Below are 27,294 nucleotides of genomic sequence, written 5' to 3' on the forward strand. Positions count from 1 at the left end.
CTTTGCCTTAAGGTTAAGAAAATTTTCAATTGTTAAACTATTACTAGTTTTTCCTCTTTAGTTGTAAATAATGAGGCTATGGCAAAGAGAAATAGGCAGAAGTAGAAAAACTTTAATTTTCTAAGAGTATTTCAGAATAATTCTCCCTGCTCTATTTGCTGTGCGTACCTTTCCTGATTGTAAAAAGCTTTGAAAGCTTTAGATACGATTCTTATCCTGAGAATAAAGTTTGAAAGAGAACCTCTTAACCAAACAAGACAAATAATGTTTTGCTTAATTAAGTGCCATTATTTCCTTTTTGAACCACCTTGCTGAATTTTTGATAAGTCCTATGTTTTTCTCAGCCCCTTGAATTTCTTCTGCCTGGCATCAACCTAGATTGCAAAATCAGCCCCTCATGGGATCATGTAAGCAATCCAGACACATCAGACATGGTATATACCTGTGAGTCTAGAGCCATGCTTTCCAGTATGACAGCCACTACCACATATGGCTATTTTAATTTATATTAAAATCAAATAAAATGAAAAGTTCAGTTCCTTTAGCCACATTTTAAGTGTTCAATAGCTAAATGTTAGACCCAGCAGCTATAGAACATGTTCATCATCACAGAAAGTTCTATTGAACAGTGCTGGTCTAGGCTAAACAGAAATATCAGAGAAGAGGTATGGATAGACAAGACCTGCTTTGCAGGCTTTGTGGCCTTTAATCCTGGTCTCCTCTCATCTTGCTGGGTCCACCCTCCTTGGCATAACAAGCAACTTCTTCTTAGTTTCTTGAGGAACTTTGTCCATGTTCAAGTTTCCTGAGAATCTAACCTTATTCTCCATATGGATTATCGAAATATTTCTTCAAACCTGACAGTGCTATTCCTGAAAGGAATCGTGAGGAATGACATGTTCTCTGTCAGATTACATCTGAGTTTATTATAACCTTTCTTCTTTTCTATTGTACTTTCCAGCTTGAATGACAGGATCACTGCTTTGTCTGTTTTGAAAGTTGGTTTCCATTTGTGATTTTCTAGTCACTTTTCTAAGCTCTCTTGGTCTTTCAACTGCCTTTTTTGTTTTCATAGTGTGACTTCTCAGACTGCAAACCTGAGTGTACTTAATTGGTGTGATTTATTTCTTATTCCAGGTCATTAATGAGGATGACCTGGATTCTATCTAACACCAATGCATGCAATTCTGCTCAGGACAGTGTCTCTCACTGAATGAGTTTAGAATGCAGAAATTTTTCATTATACAGTTTACATGTCTTTTTTCAATGTGCATTTTTTTATTTGATAATTTAGTTGCTAATTATTGATGGGCAACAACTAAGAACTGATCCTGCTACAGTGATGGATGAAGTACAGAAGTTTCTAGGAGTCTTGCCTCATTATAATTACTCAGAAGCTTTAACGTAAGTTTATATTCTAATTAGTTTATTGACATTTCAGCAGAGAATTGATTTCAAAGAAATTGCAGTTTGGTCATACAACTGTCAGGTTACTTGTTCCTTATATACTGGTTATTTTTCAATTTGACATTAACCACGGAAAAAAAAAACATTTCAACAGTGTGACACAGAAATGTCCTAAATCCTGTGTTAATTCCTAATTGTACAAAGATTTCCCTGAAAGGAAAGTAGAGAAATAAAACAGTGGTAAATCTTAAAACAAACCACAAACCTTAAAAGAAGTTATCTGAAATAAATTCGTAAAGCCTGAGCCTATTTAACAGGCAATATGGGGCTTCTTGGAAGTATGAACAGGTGAGTAACTAGGTAGTTTAGGAACTGACTCTTCTCTCATTTGTGTAATTTTCAGAAACAATGTCATACAGCAAGAAATAGTCCATAGGTGATTGAATAAGCAGAGAGAGATGTACTATTATCGCTCCTAAACAAACGTCCTTTTTTATTTTTTCATCTTTGTCTTTATCCACTATTTGACCCTGTCATCTCTGCTTCAGAGTCCTCAGCAGTTAAAGCACTGGTTTGATTTTTCTGTTTGTTTGTATGGTTTTTTGCTGGTTTCCTCCGATTTTCTTAGGTAACTGACTCTGTAAGGTCCATGACCAGGGACCAGTAAGGAACTAGGGCTGAAGAAGGCAGTCACTCTCGGAGGTGTGCCCATGCCTGAGACTGAGTGCTGTGTCCTAGGTGCCTCTCTTACCTCACCCTAGTGCTGACTCTGGGCTTCACTTAGCATTTTTGAAGAAGACCTCTATCTTACTGCGTCCATTTAGAATAGTTGGCAATCAGATTTAGGAGAATTATATTTGTTCCTACCACATGTGTAGAGCAACTGGAAGATACTGAGTTGGATTGGGTCATGGACCTGACTCACACCGTAAGTTGGTTTTTTTTTAATTACATGGACTGAGCCTTAAAAAAAAACTGAAAAAGACTATCATGGAATTTTTCCATTGTGTTTTTCAGTATAAAACTCAGTTCCACAGATCGAGTAGTTTTCCCTTTTTTTGTACTCTTTAATATCAATTTAGAAAGTGAGAGGCAGGTTTCCTTTACCTTTCAACAAACTTTGCAGGAAAAAAAGATTAGCAGGAAAACATCAAATACTGCTTATATCTCCTACAAATCAAATATAGAGACACGTAAGGGAGGCATTTTGCTGTAGAGGACAAAGGAGTAGGTGGAACTCTGCAGTTTTGAGCTTCCTTCCTAAGAGTCATTTATACTTTGCTGTTATTATTAACCTTCTGACCTCTGTGTTTTCTATACTATGAGTACTGTCAGAGTTTTGTATAGCTTAGTTCAAGTACTAACACAGACACTGGCCTTAGGTATTTAACATTCAACTTGACCTTAAAGAAAGCTGAGTGATTTCAGTTTGCACTTAAAAATTCAAGACCATTTTCTGTTCTGTATCTTTTTAAGCATCTCTTGGAAAAGAAAGCTTTTATTTTCTAAACAGTTTTCTATTTCAAGTTAGGTTATCTGTGGGTCTTTTTTATAGAGTATGTAGCAAAGCATTGTATTTCAGAAAAAAAGAAGTACAGTATTCTATAAAGACAGAGTTGCTTTTTCTTATGGGATGGTCCTTGACCTGCATGCTGTGTATTTGTCCCCTCTGCAGCCAGCTCAGCAGCAAGCTTTTTATTCATCTCCACTGCTGAGAAAAGGCAGTGTAAACTTAAGAGAATATCAAAGCAACATACTATATACAAAGAACCGTAGTCCGTTTGCACCTGAGCTGTATCTAGCTAAAATTACTGATTATATGATTCTCTAACCTGGTTGGGGGCTCAGTGGGTGAAATAGCAAGATAAGATATGTGTAGTCCCTGAAACCACAGTTTCTATTCCAGCAGTGCCACCCAGGCTCTCACCCTGCAGGTGGAGATACTGTGTTTCCATTCCATTTCTTTTTATATTTTCTTGTCAATCATCAATTGGCCTGACATACCTTGTAAAACCTGGCAGTGCACTAGTTGTAGAATATTTGGAAGTTTCATGTCATTGTCTTGGGTCTAAATTGATCATCCTTCACCCTATGCCCTTTGTAGTTGTTTATCTGAAACCTGTCTTCACAATTTAGTTACTCCTATTAGAGTAACTATACTGATAGCTGTTTCTGTAGTGCTTTGGAAATACTGAGGATGACTAGAGGTACAAAATATATATCGTCAGAAATGCCATTTATACCAGTTTGTATACTTTGTACACTTTGGTATTGCTTCTTATTTTTTCTTCTTATTTTCCTGCTGGTGATAATGACGACTATCTCATTGGTGCTTAAAATTTTTTTTTTCTCATTGGAAGTCCTCTAAGGATATAGTAAACTGTAAACCAATATGAATTCTCAACTAACTACATAAATCTAGTGCTTTGCATGTAGTAGAATAAATGAATGAAGCAAGGTCTATACAAATGTTTTGCTATGCAATCTTGGTGTGAAAGAGTACTCCAATTTAAGATATCTCTAAACTTATTATCTTCCATATAGCAAATTTCAGCATCAAAACTATTTTCAAGAAGAATCACAATAAGCCCCCAATGTCAAGATTGTTGTTTATTCTTTTCCACAAGTGCTAAAGAAAGCGTTCAAGACTTTTAAAGATATACAAAGTCACTGAAGAATCTGTGATGTCTTAAAATGACTTATTACTGTTATCATGGGTGTTAAATGACATATTTAATGTTAAATAATCTGATTTTCTCAGTGATTGTGTGAATGAAATAAGCAAAATAAGCTTTAAAAATATAAATAAGAACTTTCTCATTCAATCAAGTAAATTATAATTTACAACTCTTGTTCCACATACCCTTAATCCCTAAATGGGATTAATATATTAACATTACTTTAGTTTTTGTGTTACATGTTATATAGTGTTTTGAAGCAATCATTTGAAATAAGACAGGAAAAACAATGCTTAGCATGGAATTGTACTAATTTGTATACACTAAAATGAAAAATATGAACTTTTAGTTTTGCCATGAATACATCTGTTCACAATAATACCTAGCCATCAATGCCAATGACAGATGTCTTCATGTTTAGAAATACTAGTTAGCTAAATACCTGAACCTGGCATCTTTATGTCTCAGTCAGTTAACCTATTTGTCAAGATGAATGAAACCAGACTATGTTATATGAATTTTTAGTATTAATTTACTTTGAAAATGTCAATAAATGGGCAATGAGAAGTTGAAAGCCGAGAGTTGAGTATAGTTGTTTGTTTGTTTTGTGGACAGAGGTTAGCTAAGTCACGAAGGACTGAAGCTGCTTCAAAATTCAGAAGGACTTCAATAGCTTTTAATATAACTTCCTTGGCAACGAAATTTATATTGCCCGGGAATTGTTTTCCTACCCACTGTAGATAAATTTTAGTACAAATGTACTACACTAAAACTTTCTTATTAGCAAATTATAGTAGCCACAGTAACTAAAATCTGCTGGTTCTCTGGATGGCATGAAAGAACACCTAGAAATGCTGAGTAGGGAAAAGAAAAAAATAGTCTATTCTAATTTCTTATTATAAATTTTTAAGTGGTTGTAACAGTTCAAAATAAATATACATTTATATGTCCTATATATCTCTCTCTCTTCATAAAAACACAATGTGATACGTACAATTAGCTCCATTTTTTCAGATTAAAAAAAACTGGGGCACAGGAAAGTTAAGCCAAAGGTCACTCAGCAAGTAAGTTGAGGAGGCAGGATTGAAACTCAATCAGTTATCTCTGGAACCTACATTGCCAACCTGTTAAGCTCTTCATATTGGCACAGGATGTTAGAACCACAGAAAAACAATACTGTGAATTTTTAATAGTGAATAGCATATTAACAGGAAGTGCTTCCTTAAAAAGAACTAGAGCCTTAAAATGAGCTATGGAAGTTGTTTCAGATTTTATTATGAATAAAATCCATTTCCAGGTGCACTGGATGTCACTTTTCTTCATAAATATGTAATCATAAAGATATGCAAATTAAAATAACATTGAAATACCACTACATACCCACTAAAATGGCTATAATCCAAAAGACAATACCAATTTACTGTATTAGTCCATTCTCACGCTGCTATGAAGAAATGCCCCAGACTGGGTAATTTATAAAGAAGCAAGATTTAGGCTGGGTGGGGTGTCTCACACCTGTAATCCCAGCACTTTGCAAGGCCGTGGCAGATGGGTCACCTGAGGTCAGGAGTTCGAGACCAGCCTGGCCAACATGGAGAAACTTGTCTCTACTAAAAACTCAAAAAATTAGTTGGGCATGGTGGCAGGCACCTGTAGTCCCAGCTACTTGGGAGGCTGAGGCAGGAGAATCACTTGAACCTGAGAGGCGGAGGTTGCAGTGAGCCAAGATTGCGCCATTGCACTCCAACCTGGGGAACAAGAGCGAAACTCCATCAAAAAAAAGAGAGAAAGAAAGAAAAAGAAAAGAGGTTTAATTGACTCACAGTTTTACATGGCTGGGAAGGCCTCAGGAAACTTACAGTTATGGCAGAAACCAACTCTTCACAAGGAGGCAGAAGAGAGAATGAATACCAGCAGCGGAAATGCCAGATGCTTATAAAACCATCAGATCTTATGAGAACTTACTATCACAAGAGAAACTGCCCCAATGATTCAATTACCTCCAGCTGGTCCCGCCCTTGACACGTGGGGATTATTAAAATCCAAGGTGAGATTTGGTGCGGACACAGAGCCAAACCATATCACAAATGTTGGCAAATATGTGGAGAAACTAGAATCCTCATATACTGCTAATGATAATGCATAATATATGGCCACTTTGGAAAGCAGTTTTGCAGTTTCTTAAAAACTAAACAGAATCTCACTCAACAATCCAATTTCACTTCTAGGAATCTACCCCAGAATAAATGAAAACCTAAGTCCATAAAAGCTAGTAAGGGAATGATAGCATTATTCATAATAGCTAAAAACTAGAAACAATACAAATGTTCTTCAACTGGTGCATGGCTTTGTTATATCCACACACCAGGGGGGTTTAAAAAAAAAAAAAAAGGAATGTCCAGAAAAGAGACAAATGTAGAGTTAGAAAAGGTTTATCTGGGCCGGGCATGGTGACTCATTGCTGTAATCCCAGCACTTTGGGAGGCCGAGGCAGGCAGATCACCCGAGGTCAGGAGTTCGAGACCAGCTTGGCCAACGTGGTGAAACCCCAGTTCTACTAAAAATACAAAAATTAGCTGGGCGTGGTGGCGCAGGCTTTTAATCCCAGCTACTCCAGAGGCTGAGGCAGGAGAATTGCTTGAACCCAGGAGGTGGAGGTTGCAGTGAGCCAAGATCGCGCCACTGCAATCCAGCCTGGGCGACAAGAGTGAAACTCTGTCTAAAAAAAAAGAAAGAAAGAAAGAAAGAAAGACTTTATCTGGAACTAGGGATGACAGCAGGGATTGACTGCAATGGGCTGCAAAAATATGGGTTTTGGAAGGATAGTGGAAATGTTCTAAAACTGGATTGTGGTGATAATTGTACAACTATATAAACTTGCTAAATAGTGCTGAATTGTATATTTAACAATATGTAAATAATACCTTAAAAAAGTTGTTAAAATAAAATGCATATCAGTAAAATGATTCCTTAAATCATAAACGTGTTTGCCAAAAGAGAACTGATTTTAAAAAACTGCAATGCCTATCCTATATTAGTAATATCTAAATGATGGTATTTTGATTTTGAAATTTACTGAATTGCTATTTTCAATTCAGTATTCACCCATAGAAATGGTTTTTCGATGTAAAGGCATTTCAGACATACTTTAGTCTTCTAAGTGTAATCTGAATGTTTTGTACGATTAACCCGCACGAGGGTAGAAATAAAGTCATGTTTTCATTAATATAAAAATGTCAGCCAGGCACTGTGGCTCACGCCTGTAATCCTAACACTTTAAGAGGCCGAGGCGGGTGGATCACCTGAGGTCAGGAGTTCGAGACCAGCCTAACCAATATGGTGGAACCCCATCTCTACTAAAAATACAAAAATTAGCCAGGCGTGGTGGCGCACACCTGTAACCCCAGCAACTCGGGAGGCTGAGGCAGGAGAATTGCTTGAATCCAGCAGGTTGAGGTTGCAGTGAGCCAAGATCACACCACTTCACTCCAGCCTGGGCGAAAGAGCAAAACTCCATCTCAAAAAAAAGAAAAAAAAAAGTCACTGTTTAGAGGTTGAATCATTGGAGAATCTTGGTGCCCCTGCCCACAAGTCTTTTACAGTTATTTCTAAATATCCCAGATGATATTCCACACAAGCTTTAGAACCATTCTTACCCATTCTTGTTTTACTCTTTAAATCAACAAAATGTTATTGAATAATTATGTGCATGACTCTGGAGACACAATGATGAACAAAGTATCCCCACCTCCAGGTTAGGGTAGCCCTAGAAGCGGACACTAAACAATATATGAACACTTCCTCCAAAATGTTCACTGCCTGAAGGCCTTGAAAGGAGGGCCCCAGCCATGACAATGGTTGCCAGTGCTTACATAAAAAGATAGTTTCCTTGCTGTTCCACCAGACTTCAGAGAAACACTGCTGCTTTCTGAATAGATGTGGGGAGATTTTCTCCATCTTCTATTACACTTCTTCATTTGGGCTCTGAAATAGTATTACTTGTGTCCCAAACTCATAAGACCTTCAATGAACAGCAGTCCCTTCATCTATGATGGTTCTCCATGAAGGACCAGACCCAGTCCCTCAGGCCATTGGGTAAATAAACATGCTTTCCCTTCTAGCTTCTCCTTCTCATTTTCATCCTGACACACTTATACCATTGCCTATGAGGGTATGCACACAGATGCCTAGGCTAGGTGCCAGCTACACACACAGTTTTTCTCAGTGAAGCCCAGCATGACACCTGCTGCATAAGATCTAATTAATTAGCCGACATAAAAGAAAAACCTATTTTTCTTTTGATTCTTAATTTTAGCATGTGTGGAGTTCAGTGCTTCTTAGAAAAACTTTCTCTCAGAAGACTACTCATTTTAATACACAGCATATGTATGTTCCAGTTACGTTATCTACAGCAAGGTATATTAGCAAAAAGTAATAGCTGCTCTGGATTCTGAATTTTGATCACTTGAATACTTAAAATGAGTCAGAATTCAATTTTGGAAAATTGCTGATAGCAAAATGTTAATGAAAAATATTACATCAATCACAGACTTCCAGAAATGTTGTATTAAAGTTTCCCAAAGGCTTTCATGTACAGATTATTTAAATAATACAGTCTTTATTAATGATCTCTTTGTAATTCTGAATATAGCACTAATTTATTCAGTTGCCTTACCGATTCAAACAAGACCATAAACAGCATGAAAACATAAAATGTTGTGTCCTGATCTGACACAATTGCTTTAATAATGATGAGAAACAGGCTTTACGTAAATGGAAAGTGATTATTCTCTCTAATACACAAAGTCATACAGAGGCAGAAATCTAGGTTTGTATTCTTTTCATAGGGCTAGAGTTATAAATTCTACAAGATTAACTACATATAGACTACAGCCCCACATACACACACACACACACACACACACACACACATTAGATCACACTATCATTTTAAGTGCTTTGTTAATGTATAATTTACATATAATCACCCATTGTAATTGTGCAGTTCAATGAATACAAATATATACAGTTGTACGTACCACCAGAATCAAGATATAGAACAAAAAGGTATAATCCAAAAAATTTAATCATGCTCCGCTGTAGTCAACACTTTCTACTCACCTTGACCCCTAGGAATCATCAAGCTACTTTCTTTCACTTAGCATAATGATTCTGAGTTTCCTCTATGTTGCTACATCTATCAGGAGTCAATTCTTTTTTATTGTTATATATTACTCCATTTTATGGATGTACCACAATTTGTTTATCCTTTCACCAGTTGATGGACATGAGTAATTTGTATTTTTTGGCTATCACGAACAAAGCTACTGTGAACAGTTGTGTGGACATACATTTGCATTGCATTCGAGTAAAAACCTAGAAATGGGGTTGGTGGGTCATATAGTAGTTATGTATTTTAATTTCTAAGAAACTTTACAAAGAGGCTGTAATATTTTTAATTTCTACCAACAATTCTATTTGTTCCATGTCTTTGCCAACATGGGATATTTTTAAAATCAGTCATTCTACTGAGTGTACAGTGCTATTTCATTTGTAATTTTAATTTGTATTTCCTTAATGATGAATGATGTTCAGCAAATTTTCATTTGTTCATTGACCATTCATATGTGTTCTTTGGTGAAGTGTCTGTTCCAATCTTTTTTTTTTTTTTGAGATGGAGTTTTGCTCTTGTTGCCCAGGCTGGAGTGCAATGGCACAAACTCGGCTCACCGCAACCTCTGCCCCCCAGGTTCAAGTGATTCTCCTGCCTCAGCCTCCTGAGTAGCTGGGATTACAGGCATGCAGCACCATGCCCGGCTAATTTTGTATCTTTAGTAGAGACAGGGTTTCTCCATGTTGGTCAGGCTGGTCTTGAACTCCCGACCTCAGCTGATCCGCCCACCTCAGCCTCCCAAAGTGCTGAGATTATAGGCGTCAGCCATTGCACCCAGCCTGTTCCAATCTTTTATGCAGTTTTTATTGATATTTTTATCTTTTATAGTGAGTTATATATTCCAAATACAAGTTCTATATTAGATATATTTTTTACAAATGTTTTCTCCCAGTCTGTGGTTTCCCTTTTCATTTTCTTGTGTCTTTATGAGAGCAAAATTTTAAATTTTGATAAATTCAAAATTATCATTATTTTTCCCTTATGGTTCATCCTAAGAAATCTTTGCCTAACCCAAGGTTGCAAAATTTTCTGGTTTTTTTCCCTATGTTTTCTTTCAGAATTTTTATAATTTTAGCTATAAATTTTTTATTTATTTATTTATTTATTTATTTATTATTTTTATTTTATTTTTTTTTTTTTTGAGACGGAGTCTTGCTCTGTCACCCAGGCTGGAGTGCAGTGGCACAATCTCGGCTCACTGCAAGCTCCGCCTCCCGGGTTCACGCCATTCTCCTGCCTCAGCCTCCCAAGTAGCTGGGACTACAGGCGCCTGCCACCACGCCCGGCTAATTTTTTGTATTTTTAGTAGAGATGGGGTTTCACTGTGTTAGCCAGGATGGTCTTGATCTCCTGACCTCGTGATCCGCCTGCCTCGGCCTTATAATTTTAGCTATAAATTTTTAAGTTTTCAGCTTAAATTTTTATAGTTTAGGTTTAGCTCAATAATACATTTCAAGTTAATTTTTACATACAACATGAGGTAAGGGTCAATGTTCAGCTTTTTCATATAGATATCCAATTTTTCTTGTGAAATTTAAAGGACTAATCCTTTCCCACTGACTTACCTTGGCAGCCATTTTTTGAAAATCAGTTGACTGTAGATGTGTAGATTTATTTCTGAACTCTTCATTTTGTTCCATTGATCCATTGGTCCACTGATGCCAACACCATACAATCTTCATTACTGTAGAATTAGAGTAAATCTTGAAATTAAATAGTATGAGATCTCCAAATTTGCTCTTTGTTTTCAAATTGTTTTAGCTTGTCTACTTCCTTTACATTTTTATATGTACTTTAGAATAATTTTCTGTTTCTACTTAAAATATAGTCCACTGGAGTTTTGATAGGAATCATACTGAATCTATAGACAAATTTGGAGAGACTTGGTATTTTAAAAGTATCTAGTCTTCTGATTTATGAGCATGGTATAGCTCCCTTTTTTTCTAAAACTTAACAAAGTTTTGTAGTTTTAAGTGTGCAGCCATTGCACATATTTTTTGTAAACTGTCACCCTAGATATTTCAGGTTTTCACATTATAATTTTAAGCAAAGTGTTGGAAGTAGCATTCCTAGAAGTAGAACAGATTAAAGGCAAAAGAAAAACGTTATCTGAAATAATTCTAATTGAGAAGAAAAATGGCAATATAATTATTGAATAACAAAAGCTATGTAAAGGAATTATCATTGCTATTACATTCACTTTTATATCTGAGCATACAAATTAGTGCTTTATTTACAGTGAATAATAATATAAAACCTACTTGGAGACCAGTAAAAAAGAAAAGGCCCTAAACCGAAAATCAGCAGGCCTAGACTTGAGTCATGACTTGAATATTGAAGAAGTGTATAGTACAAGGTAAATAAACCTTGACAAACATTTTCTCCCTTCTCATTTTGTGTTCAACTAATACTTGGCAAATGTTTACAAGAGCCAAACAGTATGCTAAATGCTATAAAATGGGAAGAATCCTTCACAGCATATCCTTAAGTGTCAGAATGAAACCTCAAATGAGAAAGAGTTATATGAAATATTTTGGTAAGATAAAATGTGTATTTTAATGTGCTATTATTATTTATTATAATTATGGCATAAAAAGTTCATTTAGGCTGGGCACAGTGGCTCACGCCTGTAATCCCAGCACTTTGGGAGGCTGAGACAGGCGGATCACCTGAGGTCAGGAGTTTGAGACCAGCCTGACCAACATGGAGAAACTCCGTCTCTACTAAAAATACAAAAATTAGCTGCGCATGATGGCACATGCCTGTAATTCTAGCTACTCGGGAAGCTGAGGGAGGAGAATCACTTGAACCCGAGAGGTGGAGGTTGCGGCGAGCCGAGATTGCGCCATTGCACTCCAGCCTGGGCAACAAGACCAAGACTCCTTCTCAAAAAAGAGAAAGAAAAAAGAAAAAAATTCATTTGTAGGTGCTATTACTTTAATACAGAGCTCATACCAAAAGAAGAAAGTAGCTCTGAAAAAAATTAAATGGATTATAGCTAGAGAATCCTAAAAGTAATCACTCCATGATACACTGAAACCTTTTCTCTTCTATTACCTTCTAGTTGTATGATACAAGTAGCATCTAAATCCATAGACATGGAAGAAGGCTGACTTGTTTTTAAACCCTACAAAGAAAAAGAATGACTTGTTTTTAAACCCAAAAAAAAATTTGAATATTTATGCATTTTTTCCTTCCAGATGAAGGAAGTAGCCTTATTAATTTCTATTAATAGGAGATGTGCTGACAATTTTTCTGTTAGGAACCTGGCAAACTCACAAATATGACAGATGAACTCAGAATTTAGAAGTATGCCAAAAGACTTTATGCAAAGGAATATAGTAAAAAAGAATTCAGTTTCTCTGGTTATAGATTGTTATCCAAATAAAATATTTATGTATTGGTCACTATATCATATGTATTGGTCACCATATCATATAAATTGGTTGAAAAATGATTTTCTGGTTTTTCTGTGTGTATTCTTTTTTTTTTTAGGTTTGATTCTCATAAAGGTTTCTGGTGTCAGTTACTGGAAGAAGGTAAAACAAAATGCCTTGGAAAGAGCAAAGGAAGAAAATACCCTCCAATGGATTCTGATGTAAGCATAGACCTTAAAAATACAAACTAAATCAGCAAAATGGTAACCAATAATATCATCTACTTTCTTAAAAAACTAGTTAAAGTCAAAATTCAGCCTTTCTAAAAATTAAAAGTGCCATTTCAATTTCAGTACAGGTAGGTTGCTTATTTTGATTTACCCACAATATATTATTACCTGTCATGCAAGAATAAAGGAAAACAATAGAATTCAACATTCTGAATAAGAACAAAGAGATAATATCTTATTCCAAAAAGAATGATACCTGCACAAAAATTTTAGTATAAATGTTAACTGAAACCAAGACAGGAAGTATATCCATTGGAAAGTGAAAATAGGACCAAGATTTCTATTTTTGGCCGAGTGTGGCGGCTCATGCCTGTAATCTCAGCACTTTGGAAGGCCGACGTGGGTGGATCACTTGAGGTCAGGAGTTCGAGACCAGCCTGGCCAACATGATAAAACCCCATCTCTACTAAAAATACAAAAAAAGATTAGCTGGGCATGGTGGCAGGCACCTGTAATCCCAACTACTCAGGAGGCTGAGGCAGGAGGATCGCTTGAACCTGGGAGGTGGAGGTCACAGTGAGCCCAGATTGCACCATTGCGCTCCAGCCTGGGCAGCAAGAGTGAAACTCCAACTCAAAAAAAAAAAAAAAAAAATCCTATTTTTTTGACTGCCTGAGTCATTCTGTTGTAGTAAGTGTGCCCTGGGCAGTAATGTAAGTTACTGATATAATATACTAAGTTTTGAGCTGTTAATATGCTAATAAAATGAAAGAAGCAATGTATTTCCCAACATCTAACATACTAGCAGATAATTTAGGCTTTGGGGAATGTAGACACACACTTTGCAGTATGTATTCAGCACTTCCTGTTTATTCTGTTCAGAATGGAGACATGGTGATCACTTAATGCTACAGTTTTCTCCATTTCTATACCCCACATTTTTACTTTAATGCTTACTTGACATATATTAAGATTTACTAATAATATTTTTATTTATTATTAGTCTAGTTAGTAGTTTCAATATAACCATGCAAGTAGATTTTGATTTGTAAATTTTTTTTAGATCTCAGAAATTAAAATATGATTTGGGATTTTTCCCCCACAATTAATACATTACATTAACTGAGAACCCTAAGATGGTCTGAGGATCCTAAGGTGGGCTAAACTTATTAGAATACTTTAACAAAACCTTGAGGACTACTTTTTGTGCCTTGCCTGATAGATGCAGGGTCTGTCCTCAATAAACTCATAATTAAATCATATACGGAAGAGAGAGAGAGTTTCTGTTATTTTGATAAACAAACTGCATTTTCAGAACTCCAATTTTCTGTGGCTGATTAAAATATACCTTCAGAGCACTTTGAAAACAACCCTTCTTTTCCCAAAAGAAATTGACATACAATTTCTATAGTATTTCAAGAAAGTAATATAAAATATATCATATGCATTTATGTCAAAGCTATTTCCCCGTAAATTTATTAAAGCTAAAATGTTTAAGAGACACTGCAGAATATCTTTCTTAGCATTTTGTTTTACTCTGGTCTAACACAGACCTTATTAAATTTGGAGGTAGAGAAAGATAAGAAAAACACAACTTTTCAGGATATCCTTCCTTCTCAACAAGGTTACTGAGTAATCCATATTGGGTTTATTTAAGGGAGTGGCTGATTTTGTGAAAATAATGTCCACAAAGCAGGTAAGAGTAAAGAGGTCTTCACAGAGGTAATGAAAATACAAATGTGTAGGAGGGATTAGAGTGGGCAGTACTGTCACCACACCTTTTGCCTCTTCCTAGTAAGAAAAATGCCAGTACCCAAGACTGTCAGTAAAATATCATAGCATGTGCTAAATAAATAGTCCATATGCTTAATACAAATTTTAATCCAGATCTGGTATACTTGGTACTTATTTCAACGTAGTCAAAGTGTATGAAATGTAATAAACAAAATAAAATGTACTTTTCTCTCCTCCTCTCCACTTAGAGCAGGACATTTCTGTCAAGCTACTATCGAGATCACAACGTGGAACTCTCAAAGCTGCTGCACAAACTGGGTCAGCCTCTGCCATCCTGGCTGAGACAGGAGCTGCAGAAAGTAAGATAGCACTGAGAGAAAACTTGAGACTTCATCGTCCATGTAGAACACACCTTTTCCAAAGCTTCCAGAAGCTACCAAAAGGCAGTTGAAAAATATACCTCTTCAAATGAGAAAAAAGAACAGTTTCTTCCATGTGCTGGCACGTGGATGATTAGAAAAAAAGAAAAAGTATGTGTTACAAGCCTTGAGGCCTGTGGCCTTTCTCTTAACCCATATCTGAGCCTGTGGGATTATTGTAGACTACTGTGCACTCATGTGGAAGTCAATTGCAACCAACATAAATATCAAACACAAATGCAGAACTGTTCCATTTCATAGTAATATTTACACTTTTATATATCAACTAAGATTGTGTCTCTGTAGGTTTTTAGACCACTGTTTGCCTGTACGATGTTTTCTTATTATTTTATTCTATAAAGTGTCCTATGAAACAAGAAGCAAAATAAACATCACAATGTAGCATAAAATGTCAAAAGCATAACACCCATGAAAAATGCTTGCCAAAATTTAAATCCACTTAAGTATTTAGAAATAATTGTAAATTATAATTTGTGCTAGATCAGAGTGGAAAAGTTATATATGAGTGTTATCTGCACCAAAAAAAAATAAGTGCTATAGCAAAAGTGATTTTTTCATATACATAGTCTAGTGAATATATGTAAAAATTACTAACTCTTCCATCACAACGTAATTGTTATACTGAAATATATACTGTAAAGCTGTTGGATGGTAAATAGAAACACATCAAGTACACCAAAACAGTAAATAACAATGTAAAGTGTACTGACTGAATCCTCTAAAAGGGAGAAATTGTAGGGGTCTAAAAACATATCATCGAGAATTCTATGTCCACTTGCTGTAAGCTGTGAATCTATCCCAGTAGTCCTCACTAGTTCTACAGAAATGCATGCCTAGAGTCTGAGGTATGTGTCATCTCCAGAAACAGGTTGACTTTTAAATGTGAATAGCTATTTTTAATGCTCCCCAAAACAAAACCTATTAAACTAAAACTAAAAACAGTTTCCCTAGATGATGTGGTTAGGCTATTTACATTTAGGTTATTAAAAAATTGCATTTTCCCAGATAGTTCAAAATAAAATTATGTAATGTAGTAGAGATTTATAACAAAAAACAAATTAATATATTATTTGTAATCTAATGTTTGCAATGATACTTTTGATATAAGGCAAAGAAACATAAGCAGAGCAGAGGCCCATTTTTGAAAATATTTCACCCATCACTCTGGTGGAAGTAACAGATCATAGGTACAATTAAGGATTAGCTACTAAATTAAATGCAGGAAGTACAAAGATGAGCAAGTCATGCTCTTGAAATATATTTACATTTCAATTGTAAATAATATATATGGTTAATAAAGTTTCCAAAAAAGAAAAGAATACATCATACTTATTTTCCTGTTAATATTTACTTAATTTTTTTTTTTGAGAGGGGGACAGAGTCTCACTATGTCACCCAGGCTGGAGTGCAATGGTGTGATCTCAGCTCACTGCAACCTCCGCCTCCTGGGTTCAAGTGATTCTCCTGCCTCAGCCTCCTGAGGAGCTGGGATTACAGCCATGCACCACCACGCCCGGGTAATTTTTGTATTTTTAGTAGTGACAGGGTTTCACCATGTTGACTAGGCTGATCTTGAACTCCTGACCTCATGATCCACCCACCTTGGCCTCTCAAAGTGCTGAGATTACAAGCGTGAGCCACCATGCCCTGACTACTTAATTTTTAAATGTACTGTACATATACATAAAATTTAAGTAGTAAATTAATTCCCTGCTATGATTATAAGCCTTTATAAAATATTATCAAAGGTATGATTAGAAACAAATGGGAGGAAAACCCATAGTAAAAATATTTTCATTGTCATTTTAATGGGTAAAACTATCAATTACTAATTAGAAAATGAATTGTGAGATCCACTTACTATAAATTTTTAACTGTACATTATAATTACTTTTTTAAAGTTTCATGTACCTAAAGCATATGCTAATTTTTAAATATACTATTAGCAGAAAAAATTGGAAAAATCACCAATTTTTAAGACTCTTGACTCTAAAAGCAAAATCAAAGTGATTTGGACAAATATGGGAAACACAGTCTTCATGCTTACTGCTGTCTCTTTTATAGCAGCAGATGCCAGACATGCTAGGAAAATTACTATAGTCTTCCATCTCCACCAACTTAAGAAAACTGGCTTAGGAAGGTTAAACATGAGAATAGGCCTCAGCAGTTATATACAGTGTCATGTTTTCATTTGGCAACAACATTTATTCTAATAAAAAAAGAAAAGAAAAACTGATACATTTATGCTTTAATGGTAAGATGTACATTTGAACTGCTAAGCAAAGCTGCTAATGGCCTATTTTGTTTAGGTAAATCGAGTTGACTGAACACTTCATCCTTTTAAATAGATGTCAAAAACATACTCCGTGTTTGTATAAAGACAGGAGAAAAAGGAAGAGATCTTACCAAAATTTATTCATTCACAAGTACATGTATTACGCTAGCTAGAGCAGCAAACCTGTGAAAGGATTTTTGACCACTCAATGTGTCTTGAAGACAGCATCAAATTCTAGAGGACATGCATACTTTCCACATTATATACTCCAACTGGTTAATATGCTAATCTGAAAGTAACATAAATACATATGAGAGAATAATGAGAGATAATCTGATTTAAAACTAGCTTTGTATAGAATTCCCTTTTTCATTGTTTAAAATATGAAACTTCCTCAGGAAGAAATGAAATGGTTATTTCAATGTTTATAGCTGTAATATTCTTGTCATTCACATTGAATGAAAATTACTGGAAACATTTTTTTCTCTGAGTTTTTTAAAATAAAAAACCTAGATATAATTCTGATAGTAGCATGGTACCTCATATGTACAACAATAAACTGATAGGAAAATGAAGAGTTTGGACCTGGTGATTTTAGGTAACAGTAGGTATTTTATTGTTTTGGCCTGGGAGTGAGTGGGAGGTGGTTACGGAACATAGATACTACTAACATAATTCAAAATGAAGAGATAGAAAATTTTCAAGTAGGATATATATCTATCCTATATTTATAAAACCTTTCACAGATCCTTCTCCTCCTAAATTTATATGTTACTTGTAGTGAATTTTTTTTTAGTTCTAATAAATATAATGCAGTTTCTAGGTCATTTATGGGACCCTAGAATAAGAGAATAAGAGAATCACACAGCTGTTACTAAATGGACTTCAGAACAGGAATGATTATAGCATTTCTTACCCCTAGTATTCTGTTCTGCTCCATACCAATGAGCCCATTTCTTTCCTCAGAGTTTAAAAGGTGTTCATCTCTCTTTTCTAAAAATCTGGCAAAACAATCTCTGCAAAAAAAGGAGGGAGGGGGGATTCGGGGAGTTTAAATTTAGCCATTTATCTTCATTCTCCACACATTTTCTTTTCTCTCTTCCAATCCCTTTCTTTTCTAGACATCAGCTTTTCACATGTTGCAACCCACCCTATCTCGGGGCACCAGCTGAATACCCCACAGGCTTGCCTCCCACACACACAGCTCACTGATTGAGCTGGGACATCTCATCTCATCTTCTGCCTTCAGACTGTGATTTACAGCATTGGCTTCCCTGTTCCTCAGGCTTTCAGTCTCAGATTGGATTACACCGTTAACCACCCAGTCTCCAACTTGCACAGCAGATTATGAGACTTCTCAGCCTTATTAATTCGGCTTTTTTGGAGAACTCTAAGACACACAGTTTCACTTAGATTCCATCCCCCCAAAAATCTGCAATCTACTTTGAGTAAGCCTTTCACCTATGGCCAAGGATACCTAACAAAATTTGAGGGCCACTTGTCCCCAAACCAGTGCTGCTACCAGTTCTTGCCATTTATTGTCCCTAATTTGTTATCTATAAAAGTTCTCTATATACTCAGTGCCCTTAATAAATGTTACAGCGTAAAATTTATTCATTTATCTGTTAGTACTGAAACTAATAAATAAGTTGAACCTCCTTCCATTAATCCTGTAACTATCCTCATCTTTAAGTATCTATCACTTCTCAGTCTATTTCCAAAAGTTATAAATACAAAAATTAATAAATCACTAAAGTTGGAATTAGTTATATGCTCACCATTTCCTCTGGAGCATCTCTTAGAGAAAGAGGAATCATGAATAGTATCAGTAAGTTAAAAAAGACATTCACTTGCCAGAGTCAAGTCAAGTATCTCTTTTACTATACTATAGTCAGAGCTCTCCAGAGAAATAGAACTAGGGGCAGATACATATACATATATATATATATATATAAGCACATATATACACACATATAAGCATATATATATATATATATACACACACACATACATAAGTATATAAAGACTCATTATAAGGTATTGGCTTAAATGATTTTAGAGGATGCAAAGGCCCATGATCTGTCATCTGCAAGTTGGAGACCCAGGAAAGCCAGAGGTGTAGTTCAAAAGCTTAAGAGCCAGAGAGCCAATAATGTTGCAGTCTGGGTTTGAAGGCCTAAAAACCAGGAGCACTGAGGACAGAAGAAGTTCAATGTTCAGCTCAAGCGGCCAGGCAGTTAACTGGACCTTCTTCCACCTTCTCATTCTATTCATGCCCTTAATGGATCGCATGATGCCCAACAACACTGGGGAGGGTAATCTGCTTAACTCAGTCTACCAATTGAAATGCTAATCTTATCCAGAAACACCATCATAGCCACACCCAGAAATAATGTTTCACCAACTATCTAGGTACCCTGTGACCCAGTCAAAGTTGACACATAAAATTAATCATCACATTTACTTAGCAATCCCTTTCAAGGAAGTCAAACCACATTTTACAAATTAAATGCTCACAGCATAAGGTCTCCAAGATATTGTTAGAAAGAATGTATTTGCCCACATTTTACCATACAGAAAAGTGAATTACACTGAATAAAATGTGAGATAGTTCGAAAGCACCCAGAATCTGTGACAAATCTTACAAAACTGTCTACATTAAGCTGCTTCTTGGTTTTGAGGGAATACATTAAGTGTAGGAAATGCCTGCTGTCTACATTTCTGATGCCAAAATGCTCTATTTCAAATCAATAACTGAAATGGAAACCAGACCTTGCTCTTAAATATTATACATAATTTATAAAGTTGGACCAAAGAAAATGAGCCTTCTCTATTTGATAAATAATATTCTGAATCTAAATTTTTTTCAATTTCAACATTAAACAGAAATGCAAGCTCAACATGCTATATACTCCTAGTGCTTTAGTGTATCATTTCAGAACTTACTGTAAATCCTTCAAAGCAAACAAAACTTTTAAAAGCCCACAAAACAAATATACTATCAAAAATAAAGCTTGCTTCACATATAAATGAATAAATTGACAAATTTTTAATAATTTAAAGATTATAATTTTAAAAACAATAAAAAGCTATGAAAATATAATATTGATAAATTCTCCCTCCCACTTGTGATCATCCTGAGAAAACCATACTGTTTTCATTCCCAGTTAATTACAGGGATGTCCTCAGTGCAATCAGAATAGCAAAAAAGATAGATTGGACTATAATTGAACATTTGTTCTTTACTAAGTAACATTGGGTAGGTGACTTTTCTGATCTCAATTTACACATCTGTCAATGGAAGTCACATGTGATGATTGGTAAGGAGGGGGAATGCTTTTCTCCCTGCTTTGTTTAACATGTTCCAGTAGATCAATTATTGTAACATGTGATTCTGTCTCTGATCTACTCTCCCATAGAGGAGGAACCAATGAATTATCTAAGTGGTAAAACTGGAAGCAGAAATTCCGCTTGAATAGCTCAACCTATCTCCCTCACTTCTCTTTGGGATCTACCTGCAAAGATGAGCCACCCTGGTCCTCTTGGCCTGTGTTAAGTTTAGCAGACACTGACGTTTATTTAAAGCCACAAACAAAACCAAAAGAAGAGCTAAAAACAAAAATAAAAACATAAATACATGCTCAAAAATTAGGAAGATAAGCAAGAATGTGAGAAACAGTAATATAAATGAGCTAAATGTCTCCCCCTCATGTGGGGAGCCAACAGATACTGCTTAAAGTTGAAAAATTAACAAAGGTAAAAGCGTAATTGGAATTATGAAGATAATCAGCAGAGCTTAAACAAATGGTAAAAGCAAGTTGCCTTTGATAACTGGGACTAGAGTGCTGGACCTGGGAAAAGTATTTAAATTTTTATTTCCAAATGCATTAATTGCTGTACTTGTATAACAACAATAATTTGTCATTTTAAAGATCAAGACTGTAAATATTCAGGACAAACTGTGTCCAGAAGGAGGACCACAGAAGCAAGAAATCTAAGCAGCATCAGATACTGGATATTATCCAAGAGATTAACTAATAAACAGGACCTCTGCTATAGTGTAGTGTCAGCACTACAGTACAAGAGTTTCAAAATATATCCTGTGGATCTTGAGCAGACCTCAGTCCTCTTCAGGGGGTCTGCAAGGTCAAAACGATTTTTATAATAATGTGAATTCATTATATGCCTTCGTCATTGTGTTGATATTGATACTAATGGTGCAATAACAATAATGGGTAAAACTGCTCGTGCTTTAGCATAAATCAAGCCAGTAGAATTAATCTGTACTATTGTATTCATCATCATCACACACTCATTTTTTAAAACAGTGTCACTTATGATTTGACAAAGCAGTAAAATTATTGATATTATTACATTTCCACACTACAGTATATGCTTTTTAATCTTCCGTGTGACAAAATGTGAAGTGTGCCTGAAGCATGTCTGCTACATACTGAAGTAGGTGGTTGTCTTGAAAAAAAAGCCCTTGAGCAGCTGTTTGAGTTGCAAGTGGAACTAGCCACTTTATTCATGGAACATCCTTTTTACTTGAAAGAATGACAGAGAATTATGGTTATTCAGACTTGAGCAATTGGCAAATGTTTTCTTAAAACTGAACGAAGTGAGCCTCTCACTTCAACAAAAAACAATTGACAGTATTTCTTGCCAATTATAAAATTTCAGCTTTCAAGTAAAAATTAGAATTTTGTACAACTTGTATTGCTACCATGAGCTTCACAGCATACTCATATTTAAAGATCTTTCTGATGAGATTGGTGGTGATATTAAAAAACGTAATTTTCTAACATTATATAATGAAAGGTGTCAATGTTTGAAAGATCAGCATAACTCAGTAAACCATTTTCCAAAAAAGCAATGCATGAGGTCACAAAACACATATACATAGTATACAGTATACATATACATAGCATAATCGTTATAATAGTGAAAGGTCTATTCTCAGAGTAAGATAAACCAGTAGATTTTAATGTAGCACAGTATGAACAGTTCATTGATTTATTTCAGATTCCACATTGCAAAAATATCCTTTAAGACAATAGCACTTGTCAATTTTGAATGTAGTATCAAAGAAAAATATCCACAATTATCTGAAAAGGCTATAAATATATACTTTCTTTTCCCACATATGGGTATATAAATATATACTTTCCTTTCCCATACACATAAGGGTATGAGGCCAGATTTTCTTCATATACTTCAACAAAACAACCTATCAAAATAAATTGAATGCAGAAATAGATAGGAGAATCCAATCTCTATTAAGCCAAACATTAAAGAAATTTACCAAAATGTAACACAATGCCATTCTTCTCATTTTCTTTTGTTTTGGGAAACATAGCTATTTTTTCTTTAAAACTATAGCTTTATTATGGGTTTGTTCTTGTTATTTTTTAATGTTTTTTGATTTCTCCATTTTAATTTCTAATAAATTAAATATTAAAAACTATAACTCTATATTATCTATATAGAGTTATCTATAATATTGATAAATTTATCTATAATATTGATAAATATAATGCTTTTGTTTTATAAACAAAAGCCCTTTGGGGTTCTCAACAATGTTTAAGAATGTAAAAGGATCCCCAGACTAAAAAGTATGAGAGCCATTGGCACGGGAGTTGGAAGTAACTTAAGTACCTAAAGCCAAGATTTACACCATCAACAATAGGCTAGAAAGAAAATAAGTGGGAAGCCAGACTACACCTCCTCTCCACCACCTTCCCACTCTACTCCCAGAATGGAGTTGCCTGGCTAGAGATGAAGGAATACTGCAAAAAGGAAAAGAGAGGTAAATTCAAGTTTGGGTTTCTTCTCCCCCTGCCTTCCTCCTTGACACCAAGCTGAGCCCTAAAAATGGAGGATGAGAGATCTTTAAGTCTGAGGATCAAACAGTAGAGAAAGCTGTGCCCTACTTTCCATTTAAAACTCTGCAAAGCAGCAACCTCCTCCGTGTACTCTGCCCACCAATGGTGAAGGCCCTCCCTCCAAGCAGTAGAGATAGCTCATGGTATCCTAGGTATAAATACACAGGTTTGCACAAGCTCCACAGTGGCACAGGAGAACACATAAAAGTTCCATTTCTCCAGATAAGCTGCAGGAATCACCAAGAAAAGCCTTTTAAATCCAAAGGGACCTGGCAGCTGGGACAAAGACGGCATTGAATAACCTGCACAGATTGATGACTACGGGCCATGAAAGGAGCCTAGACCGTGGAATCTAGAGATCACTTTACAAAGACTGAACCTGTTGAGGTTCATCCAATGCCAGCAGAGGAGAGATGATGGCTGAGAACAGATGTTACCCTACCACTTCATGTCCACTGCCATGACCACCTTTGGAAGAAATGGAGAGAACAATCTTGACTTTGACTGGGTTTTCCTAAAAGATATTTAAAAATCATATCTTGAATGGGGACAATTATTAAAAACTAAAGAAAGCTCTATTTTGGACAGGTTGTGAATTATGGAATTTTTACGCACTACATAAGCATTACATTTCAGGTCCAATTAGCAACAATGGATACTCAGGGAAAAAGGGCACTCAGCTAGGGTTTGAGGTTAGTGATAGGCTCTGCCTCAGTTAAGATGATCCAGTGTACACACAGTGATGTAGTCAGGGTTGAGTCTGCAGGTGAGGTTCATCTGTGGATTACCATCTTCCTCCAAAAAACCTATTCCATTCTTGTGGTAGACACACTCTAAGAGTGATGATGCCTTTATATGATCCTATCTCCTTGAGTGTAGGCAAGAACTGTGAATACTATAGGATAGTGAATCCCTTGGTTAGCAAACCCCACATTTGATCTGTCAAGAAATCCTGTTGGCTCAATCTTCACTTCTATCCAAAACCAACCACTTCTCACCAAATCCAGGGCTGCCACCTCATTCTAAGATGCCATAATCAGCTGGGCGCGGTGGCTCACGCCTGTAATCCCAGCTCTTTGGGAGGCCAAGGCGAGTGGATCACAACGTCAGGAGATTGAGACCATCCTGGCCAACATGGTGAAAGCCCATCTCTACTAAAATTCAAAATAAAAAATTAGCCGGGTGTGGTGACACACACCTGTAGTCCCAGCTACTCAGGAGGCTGAGGCAGGGGACTCACTTGAACCCAGGAGGCGGAAGTTGCAGTGAGTCAAGATCGCGCCACTGCACTCCAACATGGCGACAGAGCAAAACTGTGTCTCAAAAAAAAAAAAAAGATGCCATAATCTTTATCCTGGTTATCCTCCCTACTTCCAGGTATCTGTACTACAATCCGCTATTAACCCAACATCCAGGGTAATCCTGAGAGGTGACAGCACGCTGGCAGCCCTCACAGCCCTCACTCGCTTTCGGCGCCTCCTCAGCCTCGGCGCCCATTCTGGCCGCGCTGAGGAGCCTTTCAGCCTGCCGCTGCACTGTGGAAGCCCCTTTCCGGGCTGGCTGAGGCCGGAGCCGGCTCCCTCAGCTTGCCGGGAGATGTGGAGGGAGAGGCGCGGGCGGGAACCTGGCCTGCGCGCGGCGCTTGCGCGCCAGCGCGAGTTCCGGGTGGGCGTGGGCTCCGCGGGCACCGCACTCGGAGCGGCTTGGCCAGCCAGCCGGCCCCGCCGGCCCCGGGCATTGAGGGGCTTAGCACCTGGGCCAGCAGCTGCGGAGGGTGCGCCGGGTCCCCCAGCAGTGCCGGCCCACCAGCGCTGCGCTCGATTTCTTGCTTGGCCTTACCTGCCTCTCCGCGGGGCAGGGCTCGGGACCTGCAGCCACCCATGCCTGCGCCTCCCCCCACCTGGGCTCCTGCGCGGCGGGAGCCTCCCCAACGAGCGCCGCCCCCTGCTCCACCGCGCCCAGTCCCATCGACCGCCCAAGGGCTGAGGAGTACGGGCGCACTACGCGGGACTGGCGGGCAGCTCCACCTGCGGTCCAGGTACAGGATCCACTGGGTGAAGTCAGCTGGACTCCTGAGTCTAGTGGGGACTTGGAGAACCTTTCTGTCTAGCTAAGGGATTGTAAATACACCAATCAGCGCCCTGTGTCTAGCTCAAGGTTTGTAAACACACCAATCAGCACCCTGTGTCTAGCTCAAGGTTTGTAAACACACCAATCAGCACCCTGTGTCTAGCTCAAGGTTTGTAAATGCACCAATCAGTGCTCTGTGTCTAGCTAATCTAGTAGGGACTTGGAGAACTTTTGTGTCTAGCTCAAGGATTGTAAACGCACCAGTCAGCACCCTGTCAAAACGGACCAATCAGCTCTCTGTAAAATGGACCGATCAGCAGGATGTGAGTGGGGCCAGATAAGGGAATAAAAGCAGACTGCCCTAGCCAGCAGTGGCAGCCTGCTTGTTTGGGTCTTCTTCCACGCTGTGGAAGCTTTGTTCTTTTGCTCTTTGCAGTTACTCTTACTGCTGCTCACTCTTTGAGTCCACACTGTGTTTATGAGCTGTAACTCTCACCATGAAGGTCTGCAGCTTCACTCCTGAAACCAGCAAGACCACGAACCCACCAGAAGGAAAAAACAAGCTGCGAGACCAGGAAGAAACTCCGAACACATCCGAACATCAGAAGGAACAAACTCTGCACACGCTGCCTTTAAGAACTGTAACACCCACCGGGAGGGTCCGTGGCTTTGTTCTTGAAGTCAGTGAGACCAAGAACCCACCAAGTCCGGACATAATCCTTTTACAAATTAAATCAAAGCACTTTAATTCCTGCAATAGCTCTACTTTTTATGCTACGGTCCTTATAGTGGCCTGCAAGGCCTTACATGATGTGGTATTCATCACCTTTCTAACCGCAGCTCCTCTTTTCAAACTCTCATTCTGCAACAGTTGCACTGGCTCCCTTGCTGACTATCTTATTTAAGACATTCATGTTAACATGCCCACAAATATCAACGTGGCTAACTTCTACACTGTAGTTCAGTCTTTGCTCAGATGTCATTTTCTCAATAAGGCCTACCCTGACAACCTTACATAAAATTTCACCCCTTCCTCCCTTCCCTGACTCCTGATTCCTATTACTCCGAACTAATCTTTTTTGAACCATAGCACTTAAAATCTTATAACTAATTCTGTAGTTTACCAATTTTATTAGATCTTTTGTCTTCTCCTACTTGAATAAGCTTCTCGAAAGCAAACTATTTGTCTTTTCTTTCATCAATATATCCCCACATCGATGGGTCTAGTCTCTGAAATAATAAGTGCTCAATAAATACTTGTTGAATTAATTTCACAATAAGTAACTGGAAAAGACATGACAGTTTTAACATACATATGTTCTTATATTTAAGTGCTAGAAAAAAGTATAACTTTTCATAAAAATCAATAAATTCGATTAACAAAAATATATATTTCCCCAATCATACAAAGACTTAAAACTGTCTTCTAAATAACAAAAAATAAATTCAATTTTAAATAATAATTAAAATTAGCAAAATAATTATTAAATGTAGGACAAAAAAACAAAACCTCTAACTTTTAAATGATAATTACCAGATAATTCTTATAAGTTATCCTAACAATAATACCAAAAGGAAGATACTGCTGGTTTCCTTCTACAGATGAGGAAACAGGTTTGGAATGGATAGATAATTTTCCCAAGGTCACACAAGTAGCAAAGCTCAGACTTATTTTATACCTAGTATCATTTTTCTCCCTTTACACACAACACCAGTTAAGAGCATGGGCTCTGAGCCAGTGAGACTACATTCAAATCCACTTCAAACCTTAGGTTAATTACATTATTTCTCTGTGCCTCAATCTATTCATCTGTAAATTAGAGACAATAATTGTATAGCGCTCATACAATTGTTAGGATTAAATGAGTTAATGAGCACATAAGTACTCAATAAACATTAGTTATCACCATTACTACTATCTCCCTTAGAGACTGTAAATAATTGTAGTCAGGTGCAGTGGCTCACACCTGTAATCCCAGCACTTTGGAAGGCTGAGGTGAGCAGATCACCTGAAGTCAGGAGTTG

General features: G+C 36.9%; 1 protein-coding gene and 2 long non-coding RNA genes across 12 annotated transcripts in view; 2 read left to right on the top strand and 1 right to left on the bottom strand.

Annotated features, from left to right (window-relative positions):
• NDST3 (N-deacetylase and N-sulfotransferase 3) overlaps window positions 1–17,889 on the top strand; it is a 225,313-nt gene extending 207,424 nt beyond the window's left edge. For 6 of the 10 annotated variants that reach the window (XM_017008840.3, XM_017008839.3, XM_017008844.2 and 3 more), the window contains 3 exons: window positions 1,295–1,404; window positions 12,754–12,856; window positions 14,853–17,889. In XM_017008840.3, the coding sequence (XP_016864329.1) occupies window positions 1,295–1,404; window positions 12,754–12,856; window positions 14,853–15,050 (411 nt within the window). In that variant the 3' untranslated portion in view covers window positions 15,051–17,889. Of the gene's footprint in view, window positions 1–1,294; window positions 1,405–12,753; window positions 12,857–14,847 lie in introns of all 10 variants that reach the window. The other 4 variants (NR_146513.2, NR_146514.2, XM_006714416.4 and 1 more) reach the window with 1 other exon arrangement.
• On the bottom strand, window positions 10,702–25,288 carry LOC105377392 (uncharacterized). Its single transcript, XR_939113.3, has 3 exons — window positions 25,039–25,288; window positions 18,231–18,330; window positions 10,702–10,942 (listed from the first exon to the last, which is right to left on the bottom strand). It is a non-coding gene; the product is annotated as an uncharacterized LOC105377392 (long non-coding RNA).
• On the top strand, window positions 25,206–26,026 carry LOC124900765 (uncharacterized). The gene is made up of 2 exons (XR_007058244.1): window positions 25,206–25,237; window positions 25,706–26,026. It is a non-coding gene; the product is annotated as an uncharacterized LOC124900765 (long non-coding RNA).
• Window positions 26,027–27,294: the final 1,268 nt, after the last annotated feature.

The sequence above is a fragment of the Homo sapiens genome, chromosome 4, assembly GCF_000001405.40.
Source record: "Homo sapiens chromosome 4, GRCh38.p14 Primary Assembly".
Classification (NCBI taxonomy): domain Eukaryota; kingdom Metazoa; phylum Chordata; class Mammalia; order Primates; family Hominidae; genus Homo; species Homo sapiens.